This window comes from Homo sapiens, chromosome X (assembly GCF_000001405.40).
Source record: "Homo sapiens chromosome X, GRCh38.p14 Primary Assembly".
Taxonomy (NCBI): Eukaryota; Metazoa; Chordata; class Mammalia; order Primates; family Hominidae; genus Homo; species Homo sapiens.
In genome coordinates this window covers 75417565-75431282 of record NC_000023.11, presented here as the reverse complement: position 1 = coordinate 75431282, position 13718 = coordinate 75417565, and the positions used below count along the sequence as shown (strand labels likewise).

Genomic DNA, 13718 nt, shown 5'->3' with positions numbered 1-13718 from the left:
TCTAAAGATAAGTAAGAGAAGTAAGACCACATTTTAAAAACTAACATTGTATTTGTGGACAGTTTTAGACTTACAGATTTATTGTGAAGATAGTTCTTGTATGTCTCACACCCAGTTTCCCTTGTTGTTAACATCTTATATTTGTATGATACATTTGTTACAATTAATGAACTAATACTGATACATTATTTTTAACTGAAGTCTATATTTAGATTTCCTCAGTTTTTCCATAATGTCCTTTATCTGTTCCAGGATCCCATCCAGGATACCACATTACATTTAATAGTGATGTCTCATCTCCTTAGCTTCTCTTAGCTGTGGCAGTATCCCAGACTTGTTTTTGATAACCTTGACAGTATTTAGGATTAATGGTCAAGTAGGTCATAGAGTGTCCCTTGATTGAGATTTGTTTGATGCTTTCCTCATCATTGTTAGACTGGGGTAATATGATCTGGGGGAGGAAGACGACAGAGTAAGGTGCCATTCTCATTACATCATATTAAGGGTACCTATAAACATGACTTATCACTGAAAGGTTAATTTTGATCATCTGGCTGAGGTAGTATGTCAGGTTTCACCACTGTAAAATTGTTCTTCCTTTCTATGCTTTACTCTTTGAAAGGAAGTCACTATGCACAGCCAACACTAAAGGAATGGAAAGTTATGCCCTCCATCCTTGAAGGTGGAGTATCTACACAAATTATTTCAAGTTATTTTGCTTGGGACATTTATCTCTTCTCTTCATTTATTTATTTATTCAATCATTTATTTATATCAGTATGAAAGCATAAATATTCATTTTACATTTTGCATTATAACCCAATACTACTTTTTTGTTGCCCAAATTGTTCCAGCTTTGCAAACCCCATTTTTATATTGATACATGTAATGCCTTTTCTCTTGAGTACTTATTCCACCCATATTTTTCTTACCCTTGATTCAGATAGAGGCTATAGCCATATATTTTCTTCTGTATTTTTATTAAACTAAGTATTGAATAAAATGATAGGAGACATCTTGAACCTTTTCTCTGTATTAATAATCTGGAGTTTCCAATCCCTTTGAAAGGTTGGACTTATAAGCATGTAACTTGCTGCTGGCATGATCCTATAAAGTGTTGTTGTGATTACCTCATCCTAGAAATAACTGAGGGCCACAGTTTTGGAGTCACTATAGTGGAAATCTGAGAATGGGTGTTATTAGAACCATGTAAAAATACTGGTGAAACCTTGAGTTTAATTATGAGATGTTGCTTCATTTCCATAGCCTCACTTATCACACTGTATTTTGTCCCCTTCGTAGGTGTGTGTTAAAAATGGATCATCACTGCCCTTGGTATGTCTGTTTGATTCATTTCTCTCCTCTAAAGGGGTCAAAGTTGCTCAATTATATGCACTTTTCTAAGCATAGTTGTCACATGCCTGTTTCTGCCACCATAATTCACTGGGTTTTATATTTCTGTAGGGGACAGGGGAGGGGTAACATTTTAAATAAAGAAAAAATATAACACCAAAGGTATGGTAGTGAATTCCTGGAGTTACAAAGCTAATGGTCTCATATTCATTAACTTTAGCAATTGAGCATAGTAATGAAATACAGCACAAACATTTCTCCTTTTAACATTACACAATTCAGTTCTGTTTCTAGTTGGCTTGATGTTTGAAATATTCTAGAATGTTAAATTCAGCAATTTTCCAAATTTTGTATATCAGACCCTGCGGGCCAGTCTGAAATCACCTAACTACAAAAAGAACATGCCACAACTGTACCAAATGTAGCTGCTAAAACTGTAATACATTTTTAGCAACCAGGATCCAGGTTTGCTTGGATGTGTCACGAACCAGTCCAGAGCTATTAGGCAGGCCAGGTGTTTCTGTGCCTGTAAATGAAAGAATAAACAAGTGAGACATGAACTTGTTTTATCCAGTTTGTTCTTATTAAGGGACTTCTATCTCTATTGGGCTTTTACACGACACATAATGAAGCAGCAGAACTAGCATTATTCCATTGCTTAGTTCACTTATGTATCAGTGTGCTCTCAATCAAGAGGTCCTGATGTCAAATTAGTTTTTCTTTTTTTTTAGGGTTAATAACTGCATTGGATTTTCCAACTACAAATTCTTCCTTCAATTCTTAGCTTACTCTGTTCTCTACTGCCTGTACATTGCTACGACAGTCTTCAGCTATTTCATCAAATACTGGAGAGTAAGTTAAAAATATCCTGAAGGGTCCCCTAGAACAAATGCACACCCACTCCAACTTGTGACATTGTTCACCCTCTATCTTTTTACATTTTTAAATAGCTAATACTGTTGAAGTAACTGGAAGAGAAGGCACTAAAAACAGGTTTTCCATATTGAATACTCTGAGATTTCGGAAGCTGTTATTTAAAGATTCTAGTTAAACAAGTTTCTGTCATACACGAGAATCTTGCTAAGGCCTTTGGGTACCTAATCTCTTGACTCCTATTGATTCTTTACAATGTATTTCTCCAGGTGAGTTTTAAAGTTCCACTTCCTACCAGTTATAGATTTGAAAAATGTTGAAACTAATTTTAAATCCCTAGTTTCCTAAGAAAAAGGCTAACAAATCACTCCCCTGTTGTTAGAAAATACTTCCTAATTCCCTATTCAAAGGAGAGTTGCAGAATTCCTATGAGACAGAAAGATATACTGACCTATCTCACATAATGGGGAGGGGTTTTTTTGTTTGTTTTTTAACTTTGTTTGACAAACACTGGGTTAGCAATTAGGAGAACTGGGATCTAATACTGGATCTCTTACCTGCTTCACTGGCTCATTGCCAAGATCAAATGAAACAGACGTTGAAAGTGCTTTACCTTTAAAAATGTGAGTCTAATAATTATAATGAAATCTCAAAAAAAGTTATTTCATCTACTTGAAGATATAAATCATATCCAACTACTTCCAAAAAAGAAAAACAAACTTAAGGCAGATTTTTTTATTTACATATGTGTACAAGGTCTGGCAAAAGTATAGTGAAATATGTTCTTTTTAAATGTCATACTAGTGGACTCCAGGAGATATCCCTTCCCCACAACTCCAGTACAATTACTAAGACATCCATGATGAAGGCTGTCCAAACTGAACCTGAATATCAAAAGACAGATGTGGACAGAGCTACTAGTTATTTAGGGATTGCACAAAAGCCTATATAACATGAATATCTCACCTCAAATGGAGACATAAAGCCGTAGAGAAAGAACATGAATTCAGTGACCAGAATATAGACTATAATAAACTGAAGAAAAAAGGAGAAGGGTAAGGCAATAGGAACCTAAATAGCCAAGAATATTTAAATTATTAATCAGTGCATTGATCCCTAGTAATATAGAAAAGATAGTGTAGAAAATTATAGTGATGTGTGTTTTCCATTTCCCTTTCAACTTGCTTAATCAGTTCAGATATTTAATAACTTTAAGAATAAGGAATTATATAATAGATGCCATAATCATTAACTCAGGGATACAAGCAAAACTTTATGCAGAAGTAAAACTTTTTCATAAATTTTTCTACAAATATAAAATGCTTCATCATCTCTTCCTTTGTCCCTTTCCACAGCACAGGATTATTATTAAGTTACAATAATTTTAAAATATATTATAAAATCCACATACTGAGCTACTACCCTGAATGTGAAGAAAATCTACTATGTCCAATCAGCAGGGAAAGTGTCGGCCTTGATCTTCACTATAGACCTTTCTTGGTTCTTAACACAGTAGGCTACTGTTTAGGAACCACTTTTTACCCTTGTAACAAAATAAACAATATTACATTTCACACATTTTGCCTTTAGCCCACCTAGTCAGCCAATAATCAAATGTCACAATGCCAGCCAGGTGCTATATGCTTTTTTCATTCTTGAAAGATAATATTTGGATATGAATTAATCATCAGTAATGTGCCAATATTCACAAGTAATACCAAGAGTGAACATAACCTTGTTCTCTTTCTATTCCCTCATTTTTTTTCTCCACAGTAGGCTAGCTCATGCCTCACAGATGAGAGGCAAGGAAATGTGTCCTGGCTTGTCCTAAAATGAAAAGGGCATTGACAGTTCAGAGAAATGCTCCCTGGCAGTCTCTTTAGCCAGATAACACTTTAGTGTAGTTTAGGGATGGCTTTCTCTGTTTAAATTGAATATCCCCTTAAAATAAAAAGTAAACACTGCCATATATTTTGAAAGCTGTGTATCAAGGAGACAAGCTGTGCTCCTATCAATAGCAACCTTCATTTGTATGGTACTTTACAGTTTTTGAAGCACTTTCATACCCCTTATCTCATCTGATCCTTACCACAACCCTGTGAAGTAGGCAAAGCATGAATTATTAGTCTTATTCAAAGATGATAAAAACTGAGGCTCATAGTAGTTAAGTGACTTGTCTATGATCACCCAGCTTGTAAATTTCCAAAGTTAGGACTTTCACCTAAGTCGGACCCTAAGCCCCATGAATTTACACACTATACCATGTCCTACTGCCCATTATGGCTCTGCTGTGGAGAGCTCTAGCTCCATGAGATTAAAGAATTCAGAAGACCAACAGATTATTTCTCTCTTCTCTATATTAAACAATAGCTACTTTGATAAGAGATTGAGCTTTTCCTTATGTAAAAAATAGTAATACATCCCTCACATATTGGGCCATGGATCTCCTCACAGAGCTATGAATTATTTTAGAATCAGGATAATAGCATTATTCTGCCAGTATTCATCTGCTCTCTCTCTGATGGCTATTACTTTGAGTGATTTAGCTTGGTTATCTCCTGAGAAGGTATTTTTGAACATAGGGCTATCACCCTCTTCTAAAAAAAAAAAAAAGTTTAAGAAGAACTCTATCAAGGGACAACACAGTAGATATGCTTTGGGAGACAGAAAAATGTTCTTTGAGAGTAATTGGGTGGGGTGAGGGAATAGACTGCAGCTCAGCCAGACAGACTGTGGACTGACTTTATATCAGTCCCTCTTGTCCAGCCATTTTCTACTATCCATTTATATGTGAAACAATAAGAAGTAAAATAAATGTGAGCTTTAAAATATTTTTAAAACATTCTTTAAAAACTAAAGATTGTGAAAGCAAAAACACAGTCAAGGCAAAACCCACTGCAAAGCAATGTATGGAATCTTTTCTATAAGTTCAAAATAAAACAAAAACCAATCTAATTCAATTTGCCTGCTTAGGCCGAGAATTTGTAGAGGGATCATTTCAAAAAGGAGAGTTTCAAATAAATATTCTTGAAGGTTGAAGTTCTTGAGGTAGCTCTTTGCTGGGCTGCTCTGCCCCTATGCAATTTTCACCTGGACCCCCACTCAGCTGACAGCATCTGACTGGCTGAAGATAAGGGGAAGCATGCTTATCTTCATCCTTCAGTATACAACCTGGAAGATTCCCAATATTTCCATACATAAAAATGAATAAAAATATTATCTCAGAGAAGAAAAAAATCTGTACTATCTGAACTTGCCAAGTGTTGCCAAGCCTTAACTTTCTCCTCCCAAATTGGAGTAGAACTAGATCATTCAGAAGTTAAGGTCCACTTAAGAATCACATTTAACTTTATTACTAGAGAGCAATTGGAAATATTTCAAAGTGATTCATCACACTGAAACAATAATCATCACAGGGAAGGAGGAAATAAATAGTAGTCATTCCCCCAACTATTCACTCCAAAATTGAAAATGTTTTCTAAGATTCTCTTCAGAAGATAAATGTTACATGCTGCGCATGTTACAGAACTTTATAACATTCATTCTGGTCTAGGCTGCATGTCGGAAAAAAAGGCTGGTGCCACATGGAAAATAAGATGTCCTAGATAACTATAAAAATCTTTAGCCACCTACTTTTACAGTTGCCTGTAAAAATTCTGCTTGATTTTTACTGTCTAAACAGCTGTTTCACAGGATGTAATATATCAGCACATTCTACCTCAGCTATAAAAAACAACCACACAAAATCTACAACAACTTTAAAATCAGGTTATGACTTATGGGTAGGACATTTTAAAATTCTACCTATGTTTTAACTTCTTACATACATCACCGTGACATTTTCAATACACGCATGCCCAAGGAAACATTATATATAAAGAATTCCAGAATAACTTACCCTGAGACAAGAGGATAAGGCATATGACTTCAAGATCTCAAACTAAATTGACTACAAGCTGTAAGCGGTTGCATACCAATTATGGCCCGAGAATACCCTTTTCACATTACCCTTTTATAATTGGTACTTAAGATACTCTATTTTACACTGAACTGCACTTAAGCAAGGATCCATTTTAGGCTTTGTAGGCTGAGAGCACACTCACAGGTATCATCATTGACAGAAAGAACCATATTATAAAAATTTTACAGAATCTATTTTTTAAATTACAGCTAGACACTTTATACATGTGAAAACTACTAACCTATATATTTAGAAAAACTAGCCATCCGTTTCCACTTTAATCTTTTGCTTGTTTATTATTTCTTTTCTAGGGGGAATTACCCAGTGTTCGCTCTAAGTTCCATGTCCTTTTTCTTCTCTTTGTGGCCTGCATGTTTTTTGTCAGCCTTGTGATTCTCTTTGGTTACCATTGTTGGCTTGTCAGCAGAAACAAAACCACCTTAGGTAAGACTGAATATTAAGATTAGGAAAAAACATATTAATGTGTATCAGAGGGACCTGTGAATTGTTCCCAATTAAAACTTCCAGTGAAGCATTTTAGCTGCAGTGACATCCCTCTACCCCCAGACTGAGACAGATGAAAATACATTTTACCGAAATAGAAAGGCATAGTGAGTGAAGCTTATAGGCTAATTATGAGAATATTTTTTAATGAAACCCCACACAGAAACAAAAATGGCCATTGTTCTTTATAGTGCATACTGGGTAATAGCTCCCAAGGTTAATAGCTCAGAAGATTTCTAAAAGGTGTTCACATGAGGAAATTAAAGAAAGAATCAGTACAGAAGGGGATGTCAGAAGGGAGAAGTAAAGTTTGATAAAGATAGTAGAATCTAATTTATTATGCACATCTAAAAACAGAGCCCTGAGAAAAAATCCAAACCAACCACAACAAGAATCCAAAAGTCTTGAGAAACAAAAAAAAAAATCAGTAAATATCTGCAATCATCAAGGGGCTGTTTAGGTACTATGGGAATGAGATAAATACATTGAACAAATGATTCTCTAGAAAATGAGTAAAATAAATGAACATATTTTCTGTCAGTTAGTCTATAGGCTATTATGTGGAAAACTATATTACTGATGGATTCCAGTACATTTTATTTCATCTATGGTGAAATAAGTATTTACATTGTGTACAAATCAGTACATGAGGAGTGAGGACAAAGTGTCCAAGTTTTGAATGTTGAATGTTTAGCTAGGATAGATTTGAGAAAAGTTTAGTGCAAAAGCTACTACACATTGGGAATTTGTTTGCTAATAATGCTAACAGCTAAGAAAGTATTTGCATCTATTGGCCGTACATGATGGCTCACTCCTGTATTCTTAGCACTCCTAGCACTTTGGAAGGCCAAGGCAGGAGAATCACTTGAGCTGAGGAGTTTGAGACCAGCCTGAGCAACATAACAAAACCCCATCTCTACAAATAAAAATAAAAATAATTAGCTGGGTGACTATTCACAATAGCAAAGCCGTGGAATCAACCTAAAGGTCCATCAATGGCAAACTAGATAAAGAAAATGTGGTACATATACACCATGGAATGCTACGCAGCCATAACAAAGAACGAGATCCTGTCCTTTGCAGCAACACAAATGAAGCTTGAAGCCATTATCCTAAGTGAACTAACTCAGGAACAGAAAATCAAATACTTCATGTTCTCACTTATAAGTGGGAGCTAAAGACTGAGTACACGTAAACACAAAGAATGGAACAACAGACACTGGGGCCTACTTGAGGAAGGAGTATGGGAGGAGGGAGGGGTTCAGAAAAAAAAATTCACTCGGGTACTATGCTTAGTACCTGGGTGACAAACACCATACCCTCAAGTCACAAATTTACCTATATAACAAACTTGCACATTTACCCTGAACCTAAAATAATAGTTAAAATATTTTTAAAATAATAATCATTAGCTGGGTGTGGTGGCATGTGCCTGTGGCTGCAGCTCCTCAGTAAGCTGAGACAGGAAGATTGATTGACCCTGGCCAGGAGTTTAAGGCTGCGGTAAACTAAGATTGTGCCACTGTACTCCAGCCTGGGTGACAGAATAAGACCCTGTATCTATTTTTTAAAATGAGAACACATGGACACAGGAAGGGGAACATCACACTCTGGGGCCTGTTGTGGGGTGGGGGGAGGGGGGAGGGATAGCATTGGGAGATATACCTAATGCTAGATGACAAGTTAGTGGGTGCAGCACACCAGCATGGCACATGTATACATATGTAACTAACCTGCACATTGTGCACATGTACCCTAAAACTTAAAGTATAATAATAATAAATTTAAAAAAAAAGTATTTGCACCCATTTTCTTAACCAAATATGTATGTAGCCCCTAGTTGCTAGGGTGGTAGATTAGCACATTTGGCTTAGAGACCAGCTACGAAGTGGAAAACCACTAAAAGCTTCATGATAACAGAGTCTGAAAACAAAGAACAAATGAGAAACAGTCAGATGCAGCTAGAGTCCAACAGTGAAATCATTTACTTAATGGGATAAATGTGTGTCTAAAAATAATGTGCACTAACATGGTCCCATTCCTTACAGTCTTTGAAGTGATTATGGCTCACCAATTGACATTTTAGCTGAAGTAAAACTCAGTTTCTTACACTGCAGGCTTCAGCATGAACACTTTCATTTTTGAAATGTTTCAAAACCAAATCAATGTCATTACCATCTCTTTATGTGTCATTACTTTCTTCCCAGCTCTAAAGATGGTGGTCATTCGGCTGTTGTTGCCGCTTAGATTCAAATAAAGTGCTGTTAAATCTGTTCCTATATTCTAAATTCAGCAGTACAAAATACATACTACCCCCGTGGCTGCTTAATTATTTCTGCCACCATGTGTTTCCCCTGTCTTTTAAAAAGAGAGTTCTAATTCTTTATATGCAGTAACAAGTTTAGTTTGTGTGAAGTGATTAAACTGGTTTTTACTAAGCAATTTAGCAATACCTAAAAATGAGAGGTCTGTGCTACCACAGCAAAAAGATATAATAGAACCAAGTCACATACATGGAGAAATGTAAAATCATGACTATGCTGAAATTTGTTTCTTTATTGCTTTCTTCCTCTTTTCTTCAACTCTCCTGCCCTGCCTTAGAGGCCTTCTGCACTCCAGTGTTTACAAGTGGCCCAGAGAAAAATGGGTTCAACCTTGGCTTCATCAAGAATATCCAGCAGGTGTTTGGAGATAAGAAGAAGTTCTGGTTAATACCTATTGGTTCCAGGTGAGTAAATATTACCACTGGAAGAAGTTAGTACTGGACCCTGCCTTGAACCAGCAAATTCAATTTTGATTGTAGTATGCAGCAGGTATCAGTCCAGTGTGAAACTCTATTCCCCAAGTTCTTCATTTCTAGGTTAATAAAGGCAAATAAAGAGGTGAGGGTCTGATAAAATAGATATTCTCATGCTTTCTTTGTGGCAGTGTGCAGTGGCACTACCAATCTTTTATAACTGAATTTGGTAATATCTATCAAAAAATTTAAGAATCTACTTGCCCAACATCCCAGTAATTCCATTTCTGGGAATTGAATCTACCCTAAAGACAGAGACAAACTATGCACAAAAATGTTCATCACAGCATTATTTATAGCCAATAATTAGGAAACAACCTAAACAGCCAACAATATGGGAATATATATATATAATATATATTATATATATATTATATATATATTATATATATATAATATATATATATACACACATACTGGATGGAATATTATACAATCAAAAGTAATGGTTATAAAGACTATGTCACAAAAAGGGAAAGTGCTTACTATATTTTAAGTGAAAAAAGAAAAATCCAATACACTGTGATTAAAAACATAAGTATATATAGAAGAAAAACAGCAGAAGAGAAATATACCAAAAAATGGTAAAAATGGTACTATATTTTAAGTGAAAAACGAAAAATTCAATACACTGTGATTAAAAACATAAATATATATAGAAGAGAAGCAGCAGAAGAGAAATACACCAAAAAATGTTAAAAATGGTAAGGGCAATAGTCTTAGAAATTATTTATATTTTCTCCATTTTATATATTTTGTGGTTAATACTAATATTATTTTATGAATAAAAATATGAAAAGCAAGAACAAAGATTAATTTGAGGTTGTAGGTAATTCTTTTTTTATTATACTTTAAGTTCTGGGGTACATGTGCAGAACATGCAGGTTTGTTACATAGGTATGCACGTGCCATGATGGTTTGCTGCATATCAACCCATCATCTACATTAGGTATTTCTCCTAATGCTATCCCTCCCCTAGCTCCCCACCCCAGGACAGTCCCTGGTGTGTGATGTTCCCCTCCCTATGTCCATGTGTTCTCATTGATCAACTCCCACTTATGAGTGAGAACATGCGGTGTTTGGTTTTCTGTTCTTGTATTAGTTTGCTGAGAATGATGGTTTCTAGCTTCATCCATGTCCCTGTAAAGGACATGAACTCATTTTTTTGATGGTTGCATAGTATTCCATGGTGTATATGTGCCACATTTTCTTTATCCAGTCTATCATTGATGGGCATTTGGGTTGGTTCCAAGTCTTTGCTATTGTGAACAGTGCTGTAATAAACATACGTGTGCATGTGTCTTTATAGTAGAATGATTTATAATCCGATGGGTATATACCCAGTAATGGGATGGCTGGGTCAAATGGTATTTCTAGTTCTAGATCCTCGAGGAATTGCCACACAGTCTTCCACAGTGGTTGAACTAATTTACACTCCCACCAACAGTATAAAAGCGTTCCCATTTCTCCACATCCTCACCAGCATCTGTTGTTTCCTGACTTTTTAATGATTGCCATTCTAACTGGCATGAGATGGTGTCTCATTGTGGTTTTGATTTGCATTTCTCTAATGACCGGTGATAATGGGCTTTTTTTAATATGTTTGTTGGCCACATAAATGTCTTATTTTGGGAAGTGTCTGTTCATATCCTTTGCCCACTTTTTGATGGGGTTGTTTGGTTTTTTCTTTTTTTTATTATACTTTAAGCTTTAAGGTACATGGGCACAACGTGCAGGTTTGTTACATATGTATACATGTGCCATGTTGGTGTGCTGCACCCATTAACTCATCATTTAGCATTAGGTATATCTCCTAATGCTATCCCTCCCCCCTCCCCCCACCCCACAACAGACCCCAGTGTGTGATGTTCCCCTTCCTGTGTCCATGTGTTCTCATTGTTCAATTCCCGCCTATAAGTGAGAACATGCGGTATTTGGTTTTTTGTCCTTGTGATAGTTTGCCGAGAATGATGGTTTCCAGCTTCATCCATGTCCCTACAAAGGACATGAACTCATCATTTTTTATGACTGCATAGTATTCCATGGTGTATATGTGTCACATTTTCTTAATCCAGTCTATCATTGTTGTACATTTGGCTTGGTTCCAAGTCTTTGCTATTGTGAATAGTGCCGCAGTAAACATACGTGTGCATGTGTCTTTATAGCAGCATGTTTTATAATCCCTTGGGTACATACCCAGTAATGGGATGGCTGGGTCAAATGGTATTTCTAGTTCTAGATCCCTGAGGAATTGCCACACTGACTTCCACAATGGTTGAACTAGTTTACAGTCCCACCAACAGTATAAAAGTGTTCCTATTTCTCCACATCCTCTCCAGCATCTGTTGTTTCCTGACTTTTTCATGATCGCCATTCTAACTGGTGTGAGATGGTACTCATTGTGGTTTTGATTTGCATTTCTCTGATGGCCAGTGATGATGACCATTTTTTCATGTGTCTTTTGGCTGTATAAATGTCTTCTTTTGAGAAGTGTCTGTTCATATCCTTCGCCCACTTTTTGATGGGGTTGTTTGTTTTTTTCTTGTAAATTTGTTTGAGTTCATTGTAGATTCTGGATATTAGCCCTTTGTCAGATGAGTAGATTGCAAAAATTCTCTCCCATTCTGTAGATTGTCTGTTCACTCTGATGGTAGTTTCTTTTGATGGGGTTGTTTGTTTTTCTCTTGTAAATATGTTTAAGTTATTTGTAGATTCTGGATATTAGCCCTTTGTCAGATGGATAGATTGCAAAAATTTTCTCCCATTCTATAGGTTGCCTCTTCACTCTAATGAGAGTTTCTTTTGCTGTGTAGAAACTCTTTAGTATAATCAAATCCCATTTGCCAATTTTGGCTTTTGTTGCCATTGCTTTTGATGTTTTGTTCATGAAGTCTTTGCCCATGTCTATGTCCTGAATGGTATTGCCTAGGTTTTCTTCTAAGGTTTTTATGGTTTTATGTCTTACATTTAAATCTTTAATCCATCTTGAGTTAATTTTTGTATAACGTGTAAGGAAGGTATCCAGTTTCAGCTTTCTGCATATGGCTAGCCAGTTTTCCCAACACCATTTGTTAAATAGGGAATCCTTTCCCCATTGCTTGTTTTTGTCAAAGGTCAGATGGTTGTAGATTTGTGACGTTATTTCTGAGGCCTCTGTTCTGTTCCATTGGCCTATATATCTGTCTTCATATCAGTACCATGCTATTTTTGTTACTGTAGCCTTGTAGTATAGTTTAATTTGCGGTTGTAGGTCATTCTTAGAACTGCAACAATTATGCAGGGAAAGTAGTGGATGAGAAATAAACAGTCAAGCTTGTGTTCTCTGAATGACTTTGTGAACCAGATTGAACCACCATCAACTAAACTAGTTCTAGAGCAGAGCTTGCTTATAGCCTTCTTGCAGCCACTTTTCAGTCCCCTCCTTAGACAGGAATACACTCATGTTCACTTAGTTGAGGTAACTTTGTTGGGGGTAGGGTGGTAATTATGGAAAAATTTCTCCTTGATTGATTGCCTTGATACTTCCTGTGTAGCAGTTAGTATTTTAAAGACTCATGTATTTCAGAGATGTGGTGTATCCAACTAACCTGTCTATAAATCACAAGGCAAAACTATGTCAGTGGGTAATATTGATTAATAACTGTTACCAGATATTACCTATACCCTATTCACATACTCACATACACAAATATCCACACATCATCACCACATCAAAGGGAGATGTAAAATCAGTCTTCTCTGGAATAAAGAACAAAACCAAAAATCAAAGCCCATTCATTTATAATCAGTACACTTACATTCTCTTTAGAGTGCTATCAATAAAATCTGTCAAATTTCAATTTACCACATACATGAACAGGAGAAAAGGCATAGGTAACATCAAAAGTCATTCAGACTCAAATGTGGAATGCATTCAGATACCTAAACTGAAATGTTCAAACTGTAGCCTCTTCTAGCCAGGGCCAGCTCAGTTCCCTCCAATGCATCCCATCTGTTAGTGGCCAGAAATTACCCAAGGAGTTGACCCTAGCTTACCACAGGTAGCCACAAAGCGAGACCCCACATGTGGATAATTGCCCTGAAAATCTGCAGTCTAGAGATGGCTCACTCTGGCTCTTTCCCCTAGTTCCTAATAACCTTTCTGCCATGCACACCAAATAAATAACAGTGCATTTGCGCATTGTCTTTCACCAATTCACACCAGCTTATCTCCACTGTATTTAGTGTTTC

At 36.2% G+C, this 13718-nt stretch overlaps 1 protein-coding gene across 13 annotated transcripts in view; it reads left to right on the top strand.

The window, feature by feature from the left end:
• The window catches only part of ZDHHC15 (zDHHC palmitoyltransferase 15), a 154611-nt gene that overhangs the window by 91755 nt on the left and 49138 nt on the right, over positions 1-13718 (top strand). For 12 of the 13 annotated variants that reach the window (XR_001755658.3, XR_938393.3, NM_001146256.2 and 9 more), the window contains 4 exons: positions 1303-1335; positions 2085-2205; positions 6499-6631; positions 9293-9419. Coding sequence is in view for 10 of the 13 variants with exons in the window: in NM_001146256.2 (NP_001139728.1) it covers positions 1303-1335; positions 2085-2205; positions 6499-6631; positions 9293-9419 (414 nt within the window). In the remaining 3 variants the exon portion in view is untranslated. Of the gene's footprint in view, positions 1-1302; positions 1336-2084; positions 2206-6498; positions 6632-9292; positions 9420-13718 lie in introns of those variants that run through there. The other variant, XR_007068181.1, reaches the window with a different exon arrangement.